Source organism: Homo sapiens, chromosome 20 (assembly GCF_000001405.40).
Source record: "Homo sapiens chromosome 20, GRCh38.p14 Primary Assembly".
NCBI classification, from domain to species: Eukaryota; Metazoa; Chordata; class Mammalia; order Primates; family Hominidae; genus Homo; species Homo sapiens.
In genome coordinates, this window is record NC_000020.11 from 57,652,949 (window position 1) to 57,668,475 (window position 15,527).

At 58.0% G+C, this 15,527-nt stretch overlaps 1 protein-coding gene across 5 annotated transcripts in view, besides 7 other annotated features; it reads right to left on the reverse strand.

Annotated features, from left to right (window-relative positions):
• Positions 1-15,527, reverse strand: part of PMEPA1 (prostate transmembrane protein, androgen induced 1) — a 63,077-nt gene that overhangs the window by 4,553 nt on the left and 42,997 nt on the right. For all 5 annotated transcript variants that reach the window (NM_199171.3, NM_199170.3, NM_199169.3 and 2 more), the window contains exons 2-3: positions 6,595-6,749; positions 85-138 (exon numbers count right to left, since the gene is read on the reverse strand). In NM_199171.3, coding sequence (NP_954640.1) covers positions 85-138; positions 6,595-6,708 — 168 coding nt within the window. In that variant the 5' untranslated portion in view covers positions 6,709-6,749. The remainder of the gene's footprint in view (positions 1-84; positions 139-6,594; positions 6,750-15,527) is intronic.
• Positions 1,482-1,561: a silencer, noted in NCBI's record as "silent region_13065". NCBI's record gives its function as "represses an Ori minimal core promoter by ATAC-STARR-seq in GM12878 lymphoblastoid cells {active_cell/tissue: GM12878}" and the evidence as "EXISTENCE:reporter gene assay evidence [ECO:0000049][PMID:35858748]".
• Positions 1,755-2,354: an enhancer, noted in NCBI's record as "H3K4me1 hESC enhancer chr20:56229759-56230358 (GRCh37/hg19 assembly coordinates)". NCBI's record gives its function as "activates a minimal SCP1, AML or CMV promoter by ChIP-STARR-seq in naive H9 embryonic stem cells {active_cell/tissue: H9 hESC(naive)}" and the evidence as "EXISTENCE:reporter gene assay evidence [ECO:0000049][PMID:30033119]".
• Positions 2,355-2,952: an enhancer, noted in NCBI's record as "H3K4me1 hESC enhancer chr20:56230359-56230956 (GRCh37/hg19 assembly coordinates)". NCBI's record gives its function as "activates a minimal SCP1, AML or CMV promoter by ChIP-STARR-seq in primed H9 embryonic stem cells {active_cell/tissue: H9 hESC(primed)}" and the evidence as "EXISTENCE:reporter gene assay evidence [ECO:0000049][PMID:30033119]".
• Positions 4,788-4,917: an enhancer, noted in NCBI's record as "active region_18168". NCBI's record gives its function as "activates an Ori minimal core promoter by ATAC-STARR-seq in GM12878 lymphoblastoid cells {active_cell/tissue: GM12878}" and the evidence as "EXISTENCE:reporter gene assay evidence [ECO:0000049][PMID:35858748]".
• Positions 8,769-9,641: an enhancer, noted in NCBI's record as "H3K4me1 hESC enhancer chr20:56236773-56237645 (GRCh37/hg19 assembly coordinates)". NCBI's record gives its function as "activates a minimal SCP1, AML or CMV promoter by ChIP-STARR-seq in naive H9 embryonic stem cells {active_cell/tissue: H9 hESC(naive)}" and the evidence as "EXISTENCE:reporter gene assay evidence [ECO:0000049][PMID:30033119]".
• Positions 10,901-11,415: an enhancer, noted in NCBI's record as "H3K4me1 hESC enhancer chr20:56238905-56239419 (GRCh37/hg19 assembly coordinates)". NCBI's record gives its function as "activates a minimal SCP1, AML or CMV promoter by ChIP-STARR-seq in primed H9 embryonic stem cells {active_cell/tissue: H9 hESC(primed)}" and the evidence as "EXISTENCE:reporter gene assay evidence [ECO:0000049][PMID:30033119]".
• Positions 13,921-14,537: an enhancer, noted in NCBI's record as "H3K4me1 hESC enhancer chr20:56241925-56242541 (GRCh37/hg19 assembly coordinates)". NCBI's record gives its function as "activates a minimal SCP1, AML or CMV promoter by ChIP-STARR-seq in primed H9 embryonic stem cells {active_cell/tissue: H9 hESC(primed)}" and the evidence as "EXISTENCE:reporter gene assay evidence [ECO:0000049][PMID:30033119]".

Below are 15,527 nucleotides of genomic sequence, written 5' to 3' on the forward strand. Positions count from 1 at the left end.
TAGCAGCCCACACTGTTCCAGCCGCAGCGGGAGCAGCCCAGGGTGGGATGGGGGTGTTGGAGGGGAGGCCGAGGGAGGTCTCACCTCTGGGATTCCGTTGCCTGACACTGTGCTCTCCGAGGGCCACAGGCATCCTTCCTGCACAGGAAGAAACGTACAAGCAGGGTCAGTGGGGTGGGCAGGAGGGACAGCAAAGGCTCAACCCAGATTCGACTCTTAGGCCTTTACCCTGGAATCAGCTCTTGAACCCGCCCACCTCTCTGCATCGGAACCAGCTTCCCCAGCCCCTGGCCCTGGGCGCTTTTCCAGGACGTGAGCGCAATCACCTCCTCACTGATCCCTGAGGTGCCCTCTGCTGTCCCCTGAAAATCCAGCCTGACACTTTCCAAAACATACACCCACTTGTGGGGCCCCCTTCTCAAAGCTGCCTGTAGCTTCCCGTGGGCCTCAGTGGCTTCTCACCAGGCTGAACATGGCCTCAGCCCCTCACCCCTGGCCCCACTCCCCTGGGCCTGGGCCCCCTGCTGGCTGTGTGACCTGCGTCAAGTTACTTAATTTCAACGCTGCAGTTTCTGTACCTGAATTACAGTTCTTGAGATTACAGTACTTGCCTCATAGTTGCTCAAGCACTTGCTGAATTTGAATGTAAAAACCACCCGGAGCCCACGTGGCACTCAGGTAGCATGTGAATGTGCTGGGTGTCACCTCCACACTCCCACCAGCCATGCTGACCAGCCCCCTGGGGCCTCAACAAGCTCAGCCCGAGCCCCAGGTCCTTTACACGGCAGGCCAGGCTGCACGGCCCGCTGCTGTCCACTTTCAGTTCCAGCGTCCCCTGCAGACCCTTGGAGACCAGCATCTGAAGGGCCTCTCCCGTGAACCTTGTCATCTGTTGATTCCCTTTCCAGCACCTGTCCTAACTTAATCATTGCTTCTATGCATTTATTTCTTTACAGTCTTTCTCTCCCTTGATCTAGTGAGCCCATCATTACTGATGTCCCAGTTCACAGGTGAAAAACAGGAGAGTTGAGGAAAGTGCCCAAGGCGGCTGCTCTGCCATAAAACAGTGATTCAGCCTCTGGCAAAGGAGGTGTGTGGTTCCACTGTGGCGCCAAGCTCTGGTCTGGGTGCAGGGGCACAGCTGCCACTTCATGAAGCTTATGCCATCTGCTCTGAGGAAAATGAGACCCCATGCCAGGACCAGTTCCTCTGAGTTTCCCCAAATGCCATGACGGTGAGCCCTGGGCCCGGGGAAAGGGATGTCTGTTACTTTTATAGCTTCATTGAAATATAACTGATATGCAAATAAATGGACATATTCAAAGCATACAATTTGGTTCGGGCATATATTTATACCAAGAACCTCTCACCACAATCAAGATAATGAGTATGTCCATCACCTCAAACGTTCCCTTGGGGCAGGTTTTTTGAGGGTTCCCAGGTAGGATACCGCTCACCTGCAGCCTGGGTAGGAACGGCCAGAGGGTGGTAATTTCCCATATGGCCACTAGGAGGCTCTGTGGCCCCTCAAAACTGTCCCGTCAGGACCGCTCCTACCCCTTAAGGAGGTCTTAACTGCCTCGTCTCCTGATTTAGCGAATGGCTCTGATATTCTTCAAGTTGCAAAGCCAGATCCACAGGATCATTCCTGACAGCTCCTCTCCCCACCACCCTTGTTCCACCCACCCTTGATCCCCTCTCACTTCTCCTTCTATTAGACAGTTCTATCCACCTCTCTCCCCAGCATCTGTGCCTAGTGGACAGCAAAGTCCTATGGAACCAGGGCCTCCATGTGCAGACAGTCCATCTGCAGCCTGCAAAAATGCAGATTCTGTAGCAGGAGGGCTGGCGAGCCTGCGTGTCTCACCATCTCCCAGAGGCTGCGAGTGCCGCTGGTCTTTGAGGTCCTTGAGGGGTCTCCCAGGGTCTCCTCCACTCTTGCCCTTCCCCAGGGCCCTTCCTCCTCACAGAAGTGGGAACATCTCCCTCATGCCCCCCACCCCACACCCTGCCACTCCTCTGCTTAAACCGTCTGGGCCCCCCGCTGCCTCCAGGAGAGAAAGTTCCAACCCCTTACCGAGGCCCATACCCCCTAGATGTCCACGGCCGTAGTATAGCTGTTTCCTTTAACGGGTTTTCCTATCTGTATAGCGGGCTGATGACAGCGCCTGCAATGCACCATACAGTGTGTTCTGCAAGGTGCCCAGTGAACACAGACTCTCACGTCTTGCCTTTGGATCTGAGCCCATCCTGGGTCTGGACCAATGGCCCCTCTTTCCTCCCTTTCCTGAAGAACTTTGACTGGCCCCTCAAGCCTCTGCCCAGGTGTGCTAACCCCAGAGCTCTCCGTTAGCCCCCCAGGCGGGTCAGGCACCTCCTCCCATCTCCTCCAGTCCCCTCCTGCACCACAGCCTTTGTCCCTCTGCCCCCGGTGGCCTATTCAGGGGTCTCACTCGCCCTGCAGGAGCTGCTACCGTTTCCCCAGTGCCAGGCGCCGGCGTGCTATGCAGTCAGGGAGTGCTCAGGTTGCTACTTAAGTGCGGAAGTTGCTGGGTGACCCGTGCAAGTCATCTTTGTGGAATTAGGTTCCAAAGTGGCTTGAGAAGTCGGGGGAGGTGGGCCCAGCTTCAGAATTGTCTGGAACCTTCCCCAGCCTCTGGCTATGTCTGCCAGTCACCCCAGGTGGAGGACAAGGACAGGTTCCAATCCTACAGCCACTGCTGACGAGCCCCCTGCTCCCAGCAGCCTCCAACCACTCCCAGACTCCCAGGGCTCGGGGTGGACTCCTCTTCTTTGAAGTGGGCGCACCCAGTCCACCTGCGCCTTCCCCATTTAGATGCTTCTAGACCAAGGGTCTGAAAACTGTTTCCATAAAGAGCCAGAGAGTAAAATATTTTCTGGTTTGTGGGCCGGCGGGTCTCTGTCATACCACTGAACCCTGCTGCTACAGCCAAGCGCAGCTATGGGCAAAACGCACTCGAAAACACTTCATTCACACTCAGAAAAGACCTCATTGACAAAACCAGGCAGCCGCAGTGAGCTGACGCTCAGGCAGCTCCTCCCAGACCCCTCCAGAGTCTTAACACCACGAGGCCAGAACGTAGCTGCCCATTCTTCCCCTGGAGTCCCCAGGAACATCCAAGGGGACGGGATGGCCTTCTATCAAACTTCGAGGACTCAGAGATGTTTCTAAAGAATAAAGAGATGTTCCTAAAAAATTCGGTACCTCCCATGTCCTCAGGAGATACTGAATTCCCCCACAGCCCAGCACAAGGGGCCTGGGGGAATTCGGTATCTCCTGAGGCCATGGGAGTGGACGCTAGGTCTTTGGCTCCCGCTGCTGGCAGATTGTCGCACATTGGCCTGGCCACAGTCTTGTCCCTGCCCCTGGGAAATGGGCCCTTGGTGGGCTGGGTTCTCTCGGGAGCAGGAGACCCACACTGAGGACTGATTGGGGGATAAAGAGGACAAAGGGTCACCCCATCCAAGGCCTGAGTTCCTAGTCTGAGCAGGCCTTGGGCACAAAGACTGGGATTGCCTTTCTGGGTAAACCTGAAGTCTGCGCCACTCCGTGGCTGGGCGGTCACTGCAGTGACGTTCTGCATCATGTCCCGAATACCCTCGGAGCAGCGCCAGGGTGGAAGTGCCATCCCTGGTCGAGGGGCTTGCCTGCACTGGAGCCTCACCCTCAGAGGGCAGATCCTTGCCCAGTGTCACACAACAAGGAGGTGACAAGGCCGAGAAAAGACCTCAGAGCTCAGGGTCTTACCTGAGATGGTGAGGCAGGTGGGTGAGGCACGAGCTCTTGTCTCCATACAGGCAAGAGGGGACCCCCAGGGTCACCCTGAAAAGGGGCCATGGTCGGATAGCCATGCCAGGGGCAGAGCATGGATGGGCTGGGGGGATGTAGACTGGGCCCGGGACAGATAAGAGCTGTATGTGGATCTCTATGGAAGGCCGCGGGGCCCAGGGACTCCTGTCTGGCAGGGGGTCCCCAGGGGAGCTGCCACATTCTGCTTTAGGCCTAGTGAGGCTCCACGTTTACCCAGCCAGGCATCCCGGGCGGCTGTGCAGGCGGCTGGGTAGACAGTGGGAGGAGACTTTCTATTGGCCGAAGGTGTGACGGAATCCTACCCCTTCCTGGCAGCAGGATCCCAGGTGCCGTCTCCTGCTCCACAACAGTGAAGCCCCTGCAGTCGGCCTCTGGGTACGGTACACTCTCCACTAACTGCATCCTCCCCATGACCACGGGCCGCACAGGCCTAGCTTCAACCCACTGTGGAGATGCACACACTGAGGCTCCGAGGGGCAAGGTGAGTCCAGCCTGGAGTTAGTGCCCCTCCAGGGCTGGTGCCTTCTGGAATGTCCAGGCACCGTCACTCTCCCCAGCACTTGAGGGAGGACGGAATAGGCTGTGGGCTCTTCACACCGGCAGTGACAAGCAGTGTGGCCTCCGGCAAATGTTCCACCTCTCTCATCCCCAGTTTCTCCTCTGGAAAGTGGGGTGAACCCCTGAAGTCCCTGATGGCATCCCTGGGCAGACGTAACCAGTGCTTGTTGCTGGAGTGGTAGCAACAGCAAATAAACACGTCGGGGCTTGAGAGCAGCAGGTCTGCAGCACGCCCTCCGGACAGCGTGCTGGGACGCACAGTGGGCCCCGGGTCTGTGGGCCAGGCATTCCCATCAGAGGTCCCAGGGCTGATGCTCCTTGCCCTGGCAACCTGGTGACGCACTGAGGCTGGGGCCTGATGCAAGCAGAGGTGTCCAGACCTGCCAGGGACAGGCCTTCCGGCTAGGGACTGTGGCCAACAGGCTTCTCAGCTGACTTGGCTCAGCCCAGGGACTCTGGGCGCCACCACCAACCCCAGGCGTCCCCAGAAGTGGGGAGGCCACACTCAGTGCTGCCTGTTCTGTGAGTCCTCCCCACACCTGGTGAGCCCCGGCTCAGAGACGTGCCGCAGCCCCAGGGCTGGCCACGTGCCACCTCCTCCCCACAGTTCCCAGCCTGCTCTTTAAACAGCCGCTTCCTGCCCCACGTGGTTGAGTTACACATCCTGGGTGCAGAGATGGAAGCCATTAAGAGATTAACTCTGTGCCGCCCTTTGGTCCACCTGCTGAAGGATACCGAACAGCCGGGCTTCAGGCGGCCGACATGGAGCCGGGAGTTCACCGTCAGAGGCGGGCAAGTTCCCACCGACCCAGATCTGCCCTGTTTGCCCCTGACTTTGTGGAGATTCGAAAGGGAAATTCTTGGGGTTTCCAGAACACCCACCAATGCTCACAACTCTGAGAGATCAACACCCAGGACTGTAATGGAGAGCGGGGTCCCTCCTGCAGGGCTCTGTCCTCCTCACACTCCCGCGCCCACTTCACCTGGTCCTGCACAGCACGGCCTCAAGAGCAGCTCGCCCCAACTTCCTGGCCACGGCCCTCGGCTTCCTTCATCCGTGCACCTGCTCCTGTCTGCGCCCATCCAACTCACCAGCAGCACCCCCTGGGACTGGCTCACAGCCACTTCCCAAACGCAGGGGGAATTTTGCATACCCCGTGTGTGTGCTGGGTAGAGATCTGTCAGGTGGATGGATGGATGGATGGAAGTGCTTTTATAGCCAGTAATGACCAGACCCGTGCTCTGTGCTAAAGCCCTGAATCTCTGGGGAGGTGGATGTGACTGTCAGCCCATTTTACAAATGGGGGATCTGAAGCCCCATTTTGTAGATCAGGGACAGGTCTGAGGGCACGTGGCCAGTACTGGTGGAGATGGGATTAAACTTAGGCCCCGGGACCTGGTGTCCTGTTGCCTCTATGGCTCTCCAAGGCATTGTGACCACATGACCAGATGTCAGCATAGCACGGGCACGAGGGCAGGGCCGCCACCTCCCTTCCGTCTGGGTCAGGGCTGCAGGACTGCAGGCACCTTTCCCACCACTACCCCGGTGGGTAAGAGCCAAATGCCGGCCCCTCGTCTCCACCATCCTGTTGTGTCAGGCCTCTGTGTGGACCCAGAATGCCTTCCTGTGCTGCCTGCCCCAGGTGCCTCCCTGCTTTCAGCCTCATCTCTCTAGGTCTGTCTCCACTCAGCCTCGAGAGATGTGGGTCAAGACGGGGGTCAGCTTGCGCTGCTTGTGAGCCCAGCCCTGCCTCCCTAGCCGAGGGTTCCTCGCAGAGGCTCCCCCAGGTCCCAGTGGTCGCATCTCCTGCATGGCGCTATCACCACTGGGCGTCTCATCTCCCTCCTGGAACGTCAGCTCCATGACAGCAAGGACCTGTGTGCTGCCCTCTCCCCAGGCCCTGCACAGAGCCTGCGACCCGAGGCTGCTCGAGAGTCAGCTGAGTGCGTGAGTGGATCACGAAGCCTCTTCCCAGCCCAGCTCTTCATTCCCCACGTTCCTCCAGCATCTCTGAGGCCCGCCTGGCGGGTGCTTTCCTCCCATTTCAGGGGAGGAAGCTGCTGTCAGGTGGGCTCCCCAGCCCCTGTCTTCCTGCCCTGAATCTGTTTCCTGCAAACGCTGCCATTGGATCCCGTCTGAGTTTTTACAAGGGGCGTCCCACTGCCGCACCCTCAGGCCACAGATGGGATGGCGGGGCACTTACTGAGGACAGGGCATCTTCTCTCCTCCGCCCCTGGCTGTGCCGGCTGATGAAGGACCGTGCAGACAGCTTGTAGTGGCTCAGCAGGCACGTGATCACCACCACCATCACCATCATCACCACCACGATGATGATGATCTGAACAAACTCCAGCTCCGCTGTGGAGACAAAGAGGGACACGTGAGACCCTGGACACCTGCAGGTCGCTGTGCTCAGGGCTCAGCCCTTTTGAGCTTTTTCACCCACCTAGGGGGACGAGAGTGCAACCCAGACTCAGGAAAGCCCCCGCCACTCTCCCGGCAAGGTCACAGGCGATGCCTGGGGCTGGGGTACGTGCAGGGAAGCTGCTCTCACGGCGGAGGAGGGGGTACTGCTGGCTGGGAGAGCACCTCAAAGGTGTCCTGGGACCCAGACACCCCCTCTGTAGGGACTGACCGGAAGGAGGTAACGGGACAGGCAGGAGGAAGGCCCTGCTCTCTGCTCTCAGAGCCTCCTGGAGCCGTTCTGCAGATGCACAGCGTGAGCTGACTGGCAGAAAGGGAGCCCTGCGCACTGGCTCCTGTCGCTGGGCAAAGGCTCGGGCAGACGGTCACAGACCCTTCTTAGGGGCCCAGGGAGGGAGCAGTTGGGAGGAGAAGGGGACCCCTGAGTGCGGAGAGAGGAAGTTGGCACTGAGTTTGGGAGTGAAGCTTTGTGGAATTAAACAAAGAGGAGCTACATGTGAACGTGTGTACACAAACCTATGCACACCTGACACTCCTACACATATGTCAACACACCAACACTCCTACACACACAACACCAACACAAATGCCCCAACACTCCTACACACACAACGCTCCTAAGTACACGTCAACACCAACACACACCCAACACTCCTACACAAATAACACCCCAACACGTACCCCTAACACTCCTACACACAAAACACCCCAACACTCCTACACACACAACACCCCAACACTCCTACACACACGTCAACAACGCTACATACTCCAACACTCCTACACACACGTCAACACCAACACATGACCCAACACTCCTACACAAATAACACCCCAACACGTACCCCTAACACTCCTACACACACAACACCCCAACACTACATACTCCAACACTCCTACACACACATCAACACCAACACATGACCCAACACTCCTACACAAATAACACCCCAACACGTACCCCTAACACTCCTACACACACAACACCCCAACACTCCTCCACACACAACACCCCAACACTCCTACACACACGTCAACAACACTACATACTCCAACACTCCTACACACACGTCAACACCAACACACGACCCAACACTCCTACACACATATCAACACCCCAACACACACCCCTCAACAGTCCCACACCCAAGTCAACATCCCAACACACACTTCCCAACAGACACAAACACACACAGACACAGCGCACCACACGTGCCCACACACACACATCCATCCCAGGACTCACAAACACACGCCACGCTCAACAGGACGGGGGTGTCAGGACCCTCCTCTTGGTGAAAAGGCCTCAGAAAACCCACATTCCAGATGGCTGCGGATGTTGCCATTCGCATTTTCTAAGGTTGGGTTTTTTTGTTTTTTCTTTTTTGGTTTTTGATTTGTTTTTCCCCTAGAAGGCGGAAAAACCCTCAAGTGCTGGAATAGGAAGAAGGTTATTTTGATCCTGCCTGAGCCGGGCAGTTTCTGCTGACTCAAGCGGGTCTGTGCCGAAGCGGCCTCGGCAGCTGGCCGAGCACGGTGCCAGCAGAGCCCCCAGCAATGGGCAAGACGCCGGGTCCCTTGGAGTTGACACGGCAGAGTGGGCACCAGCCGGCAGCGTCCGGGGCCAAAGCTCCTCCAGCTTCGCCCTGCCCAGGACACCCTGCCCAAGGTGTGCAGGAATGTGACTCCCCAGACCCCGGCTGGCATGGGGGCAAGGAGGACTCCCCAGGGCTCCCTGGCACTAACAAGCAATTAGCCAGGCTCCCTGGGGGCCCCAGTTCAAGCCCAGTGCCACTGACTCAGTTCCTCCTCCTCCCAGGACCGAGGAACCAAAGCCGGGGGAGGGGGATCGGGGTGGGCAGGTGTCAGGTGGCAACTGGAGAAAAAACAGGCCGTGCAGAGCCGATGCCAGGCGCTCGGGCCATCAGACAGCCCAGGCAAGCACACTCCAAACCCGGGGGGCCCAGCCATCTCCTGCCACCAGCCTCGCTCTCCCCAAGGCAGGAAAGCAGCCCATCCTAGGTGGGAATGTCACTGTCTGTGAAGTGGCAGACGCCTCTCCACACAGAAGCACTCCCACACCTGTGTCCACTGCCACTCCTTCTTCCCCAACAGGTTTTCCAGAACTTCCCCGTCTCGGGCACTTTATGCATCTGTGCCACCCTCAGCGCGCCATTGTCTACACTGCTACTGAGCCAGTGTTTCTCAGCTGGGGCCGCGTCTGCACCCAGGGCTCAGCGTGCCACTGTCTACACTGCTACTGAGCCCGTGTTTCTCAGCTGGGGCCGCATCTGCACCCAGGGCTCAGCGCGCCATTGTCTACACTGCTAATGAGCCAGTGTTTCTCAGCTGGGGCCACGTCTGCACCCAGGGAACATGTGGCGATGTCTGGAGCCATTTTTGGTTGTCACAACTGGGGGGTACTCCTGGCATGGAGTGGGTGGAGGCCAGGGGCTGTGGTAACCGTCCTGCACCGACAGGACTGTCCCCCATGACAAAGAATGATCCAATCCAGTCGGTCATGCTGTGGGCTGAGCACACCTAAGAACGGGCGTTTTTATTATCATCCCCATTTCACGGGTGAGGAGACACGGGCTCAGAGGGAAAAGTGATTGCCTCGAGAAGTCCAAGACCCTAGAGCTGGCGCGTCCTCCCACTAGGCTTGGTGGGGCTTTCCCAAGCCCCGAGAAGGCTTCGGCCCTGCCTGCTGGGAACTCAGGCCCCAAGCCCTGGGCCGCCTGTGGGACACCCGCATGTTCCTGGCCAGGAGAGATCAGGCTTCAGACCCAGGTCGCTGTGGCCACACCTCCTGTCTCCCCAGACAGGCAGGTCCAGGGCCGGGGCAGCCTGGCCTGATTCTGTAGGGCCCAGGTCCGTCTGTTAGCACTCAGGATAAAGCCGCATTCAGGGTACACACAGGGCTGGCTTTGTGTAACACCCACGCCCCCCCACCCCCGGGGCCTGCAATTCCCTGCCCCCCAACCCTGTGCACTCTTCACCCCAGTTCCCCCTTCCCCAGCTGTCTCCAGGGGCCCAGCCCACATCAGCCCTGGAGGGAGGGAGGTGTGTGGCTGTTTTTGTCCCTGTCCCGGGCCCTGGCAGCCCGCAGGACCCAGACAGCAGTGAGACGGTAGCTGGGGCTGCAGGGCCGGTGGGATGCAGGGGCAATGGAGGAGGCCCCTGCAGACTGAATGGGTGTGGACAAACCCTCACGGCTCTCCTGGCCCCGCCAGGCTCGGCCCCAGGGGCAGGGGGATCTGACTTTTGGACGTCTGTATCCACAGAGTGAGAAAAACGCTCCCAGAAATGAGCACCGGGCTCAGTAGCGCATAAGAGCGTCACCCTGGTCCCTGGGCCACCAACTCCCATTGGGTCACTGGCCCAGGAAAATTCACATGGGAGAGGAGAGAGAAAAACTCTCTAGAAAAGAGAAACTACAACTGACTGCTGGCTAGACTTGGTGAGCCAAGGGCCTGGGTCCAGGCTTAGGGAGATGGAGATTTGCAAGGGTTGCCGAGACTACGGCTCAGGAGCACCCTGGAGAGGAGCAGGGTGGTGGCAGGGAAGCACAGTGGCTCTCTCAGAGGGCCCGGGTCCCAGCCTGGCTCTTGGGGGCCCTCTCTGAGTCCATCGCAGTCTCCCTGTGTCAGCGGGGGGACGGTGGGCAGCAGGGGGACAGTGGGCAGCAGGATGTGCGGGGGACATGTGCTCAGCATGTAGTGCTCCCTGGAGGTGGACCCAGACACGGGATGCTCAATTCCATCCTGGCTCCACCAGAACAAGGGTGGCCCAAACCCATCCACCCTCAAAGAGACATGACCTGCTCTGGAATCGCAGAGGGAGCATCTAATGGAAGACCCTGGAGGGCTCCCTGTAAGGTGGGCACTGAGGCTTTTGGTGCAGGGCACGGAGTGCGGGGCAGAGTGGAGCACAGGCAGAGGGTATAGGTGAGCAGAGGCCGGAACCCAGACCCTCCTGGATGCCCCTGGACATGCCCAGACCTGGAGGTGTTGAGGGGGGCAAGAGAGGTGCTCCAGCCAGCAGCCGGGTCACCCCCACCCATCAGGAAGGCAACACCCTGGGCCAAGGAGGCCCCGAAATCTCCATCCAGCTCCAGTCAAGCCCCACCGGCGCGGATGCTGTGCGGGAGGAAGGCTGGTCAGGCACAGCAGCATTGGGGCCCACAAACAGGTCCAACGAAGACCACCCTTGGGCATGGGGTGAGGAGGCACCTTCCACGCACTTTCACACCCATGGTGCTGCTTCCAGGAGACGCTCAGCTTTAGGGGACAGGAATGCATTCTCTGGGGAGTGGACCATGCAGTGCCTGCTGGCGAGGTCGGTCGCAAACCAGAGACCCAAGGGCACGCGCACCGACCGTCCCTGGCCCCAGCCGTGTTCCCACCTGGCATCACGGGAGCAGGGCTGTGGGCAGCCACCCTCTCCACAGGCCTGGTCCCGGGACTCACCTGGCCTGGGACAGCCACGCCCTGACACTGTCGGTCCCCACCCCACACCACCCCAGGGATGCCTGAGACTCAGCATGCGGGCCTCTACGACGCACTGATCAGGGCCCACTCAGGCCGAGTTCATCAAGCATGGGCTCCCTCCCCACACTAAGTCCCACACATCCCTCTGGGCAGGCACCGTGAATCCACCAGCAAAGACCCCTTGGGGGAGAGAAAGGTGCCTCCCCGCAAAGGCCTTGGAGTCAAGTTCAAAACATGATGTGTGTATGAAGCGGCACCAATATAAACACGGCTCTCCACCCGCGGCAGCTCGCAGAATCCTCTTCGTGCCTGCATTTGTTCCGAGGAGCGCAGGGAGGCTGCTGGGGCCCATTCCCAGTCGCAGCTTGAGAGCCGGACTCTCAGGATCAGATGCCTCGCGGGCAAGGGAAGGAACCCCAGCAGGACTGCCAACGCGAGGCGGAAGGAGAGAAGGCCCAGCGCGGCCGCATCCCTCCCTCTCTCCAGAGGACCCTGGAGCCGGCTGTGAAGCTGTGGTCCTTTAAGGCTGGAACCTCATTTAAGAGTTTTAAAAGGGCCAAGCAGGCCACACCCAAGGCATCTGCAGGGCAGGCGGCTTCAGGACTTCTGGCCAAGAGTTGGGCCCCAGGTCACTTAGTGACTACTGGCAGATATGGAGCCACACCAATCCTGCCTCAGTTTCCCTAATCTGACAGACTGCCCCTTTACCAAGGCATGGACAAAGACATCCCAGATCAAATGCCCAGTATGACACCTGCAGGGGTGGGTCCTACCACTGTCCCTGACCTAGGCTCAACTCTGCTGTGACCACAGGACACATTGCCAAGCAGTCATAGGCCACAGGGGACAGAGCAGGAGAGGGCACACCCAAACTCACTGTAGTCACTGTAAGTATTGTCATGATTCTAACACATGACCCGGGGCCACTGAGCTGAGCCTCCCCAATTTAGGTAACATCACCATGCCCATTTTGCAGATGAAGAAACTGAGGCTTAGGGAGAAGTAGCCCTAGAAGATGCAACTAGGAGCAAGGTTGAGACTTGAGCCCAGAGCCGCCATATAGGAACTCAAAAGGGGGAAGGGTTTCATTCTCCTGCTAAATTTTCCTAGCTCGCCCACGGCGTTAGTCCGCCCGCCCCCTGCCCCGGGAATCTGAGGATGTGGTTCTGATGTTCTGGTCCAGTCCTCGTGCATCCATTGTCTGTGTGATGCTGTGCGCATCTACCTCCTTGAGAGGAAGTTACCTCATCTGTCAAAAAAAAAAAAAAAAAAGAACCAACCGGGGCAGGGGTGAAATAATGGATGCGAGAGCTCAGAACGGGACAGAACGTAGCACACTCAACTGTCACCATTGTCACAATTACTGACACTCCTCTGGGGACAAAAAGCATCCCTCGTTCCCCTGATGGTCCCTGGAAATGCTGAGGTTTGCTGGGCTGCAGAGTACAAGCCTGCTTAGCCAGGTGTTCCCTGACTGGCTTCTGTCCCCAAGGTGGGAGATTTGAGCTCAAGTCAGTCCCAAAGGTCACCCAGGATGGTGGCTGGACCCAAGGCCCCTCAGGGGCTAACATGCGCTGGATCCCATGTTTATATTGGTGCCGCTTCATACACACATCATGTTTTGAACTTGACTCTGAGGCCCTTGCGGGGAGGCACCTTTCTCTCCCCCAAGGGCCCGCCGTGGCAACACAAGCCGCTGGGAAGGAGAAACATCTCGCTCTCATTTCATTCTGGGCATCAAGGCTGTGCTCATCACTTGGAGGGCCCGGGGGCTCCTGCCATTTTTCTTCGTAATTTTTCCCTTGGGGAGGGTGATGAATGCAGCAGGCTCTCGGGGGTGACCAAGCCCATCTTCCAAACACAAAATAAGGTCACTCTAATTTAATTTAGTGTCCTCTTTCCTTGTGAATAATTTCACATTAACAGGTTCGTGTGCCTCGTTGGAGAGGCCCCATCCTCCTTTTCATGGTCTCCTCCAGAGACAGGCACAGTCCCTCTGGGAGGTGCGGGCACAGCTCTGCCCTGTCCTGTTTGTCCTACACTGGCAGGAGAGGAACCGTGAGCAGGCCACTCCCTAGATGCCATGCAGGGGGGCCGAACCCTTTATGCACATCATCTGATTGAATTCTCACCGTCATTCTGTGAGGTCCGTACTTATGGGACCCCCACTTTGCAGATGAGGAGACTGAGGCTGGGAGAGGTGAGGCGACCGCCAAAGACCGCACAGTCCAAGGCTCAGAAATGAGTTCCTCTGACCCCAAAGCCTGACCGTTTGCCCGACCCCCAGCAGTCCTGAGTGTGATTATCCCAAAATGCCAGAAACAGCGGGAGATTGAGCCAAGGGCTTGTGTTGAATGTGACTGATCTTGGGGTCAGTAACAAGTGCCTGGCGTGTCGCCCCCAACGCAGTCCATGAAGCTGGTATTCATGGCCTGTGGTACCCACCTCTGAGCCAGCGCAGAGCAAAATCCGGACGGTGAGGAAGGAAGCGGGTGCCAGGAGTTATGGGCACCTGCCATGGCATAACACAGACGCTGACAGCTGCCCTCTCCTCTGCCTCTTCCTGTGTGCCAAGCCCCTCACCACGAAAGACTTCACCCTGTCTCTGAGTTTTTCATGACAAGCCCCGAGGGGCAGCATTGCCCCAATCACAGGCGAGGGGACGGGCCTGGAAATAGTTTCCAAACTCCGAAGCAGATTTGTGACACGGGAATGATACACACGATGGCACGTGTGCGATACAGAAATATAATTGCATTAAATGACCTCGCAGTGGACACCCACAGCGTCCAGAGCTGGAAGGCCTGTACGGGACATGGGCCTGTGGAGTGAAGATGGTGGCTCCCACCTCCAGCTGTGTCTTTGGTGCAGTCAAGGAGACGATGGTCAGGTGCCTGCATTTGGGATCCAAGGGGACCCCACCTTTCAGTTAGAGCTCAGGTAAGGCAAAGACACTATTCTTTCCCATCCAAGTTTCTGGACCTCTGTTCTTGGGGGCAGAGCCTGGACCTGAACTGAGGGCAGAGCAGGGGCCTCAGGGTTCAGATCCCTGTTGGGACGTTTCATGGCTGTAAACGGGGAGAGGGTCGCTGGAAAATTTGTTAATGTGCAAGAAGAACCCACCCAGCCCACGGGGGCACTAGGCGGGGAGGTGCGGCGGCGACTGAGTTTCTCAGAAATAACGGGGGCAACAATGGGGTGCTGGGGCTCATTTCTCTCTCTTCAGCTGGGGAGCTGGGAGCAGAGTCCACCCGGCTCCTGCCGGCCCCATGGAGGTTTCCAGACCAGACGACCCCCCTCCACCGCCACCCCAACAGTCTGTCCCAGGGGAGGGGCAGCTGGCGTCCTTCCTGGTTAACAAGCAGCCAGTGCATGGGGCCCTGTCTGGCCTCCTGGCCGCACACCGAGGAATTAGGAATTGGCGCTGTCTGAAATTTATGAAAATCTAATCTTGTTAGGCCTGCCTGGATGAGACCCGCCTGGCGGGGCCTCATTGTCATTCTGCAGAGCCCCAGCGGCCCTGGGGTTCCAGCCACTTCATTTACTGCCCTCTCCCCTACCTACCCCCACTACATTTGAATAGGAACCCAGCTCCCTGCCACCCCACCCCAGCCCCCCGAATTTTAAGTACAATCAAACCAGCCGTCAAAGGAATAACTTTCTGATCACTCCTGGTGCCATTTCAAACACCCCCGACGGCATGTCTATTTCTTAGGGTAAGACCTTTTATGGGTAAAAAAATTTGCTCTGTCTTCCTCTTGAGGTTTGGGGGGCGGGCGGCAAATCTAGGCCGGTTTTCTCGTTTTTAAAACCAGACTGTACTGCTTTCAGAGTGCTTGCTTTGTGGCAAGCACACGGCTGAGCACCTGGCACCCGGACAGGTGAACCTGGGACACTGTCCCATGTTGGGGAGGGACGCTGAGAGGGGACAAGTCACGTGGTCAGCCAGGGTGGGGACTGGGGCCCACATCAGGGCCTGCGCTGGCTCCCTGCCCTGCTGTTCTTGGTAGAATCTTGGGATAGAGGTTAACAGCATGCAGCTAGCACCCAGTGGTCCTGGGCTCAAGTCCTCGCATTGCCATTTGCTGTGACCTTCAGTAAATCTCCTGGTACCCTCATCTGAGAAGAAAACGGAGAGATAACTAAGTCCCCTGTACACAAGGTTGTAGCAAGAACTACGAAAGTTAACTTCCCGGATGGAACCTCTTGAGTCAAGAACTCC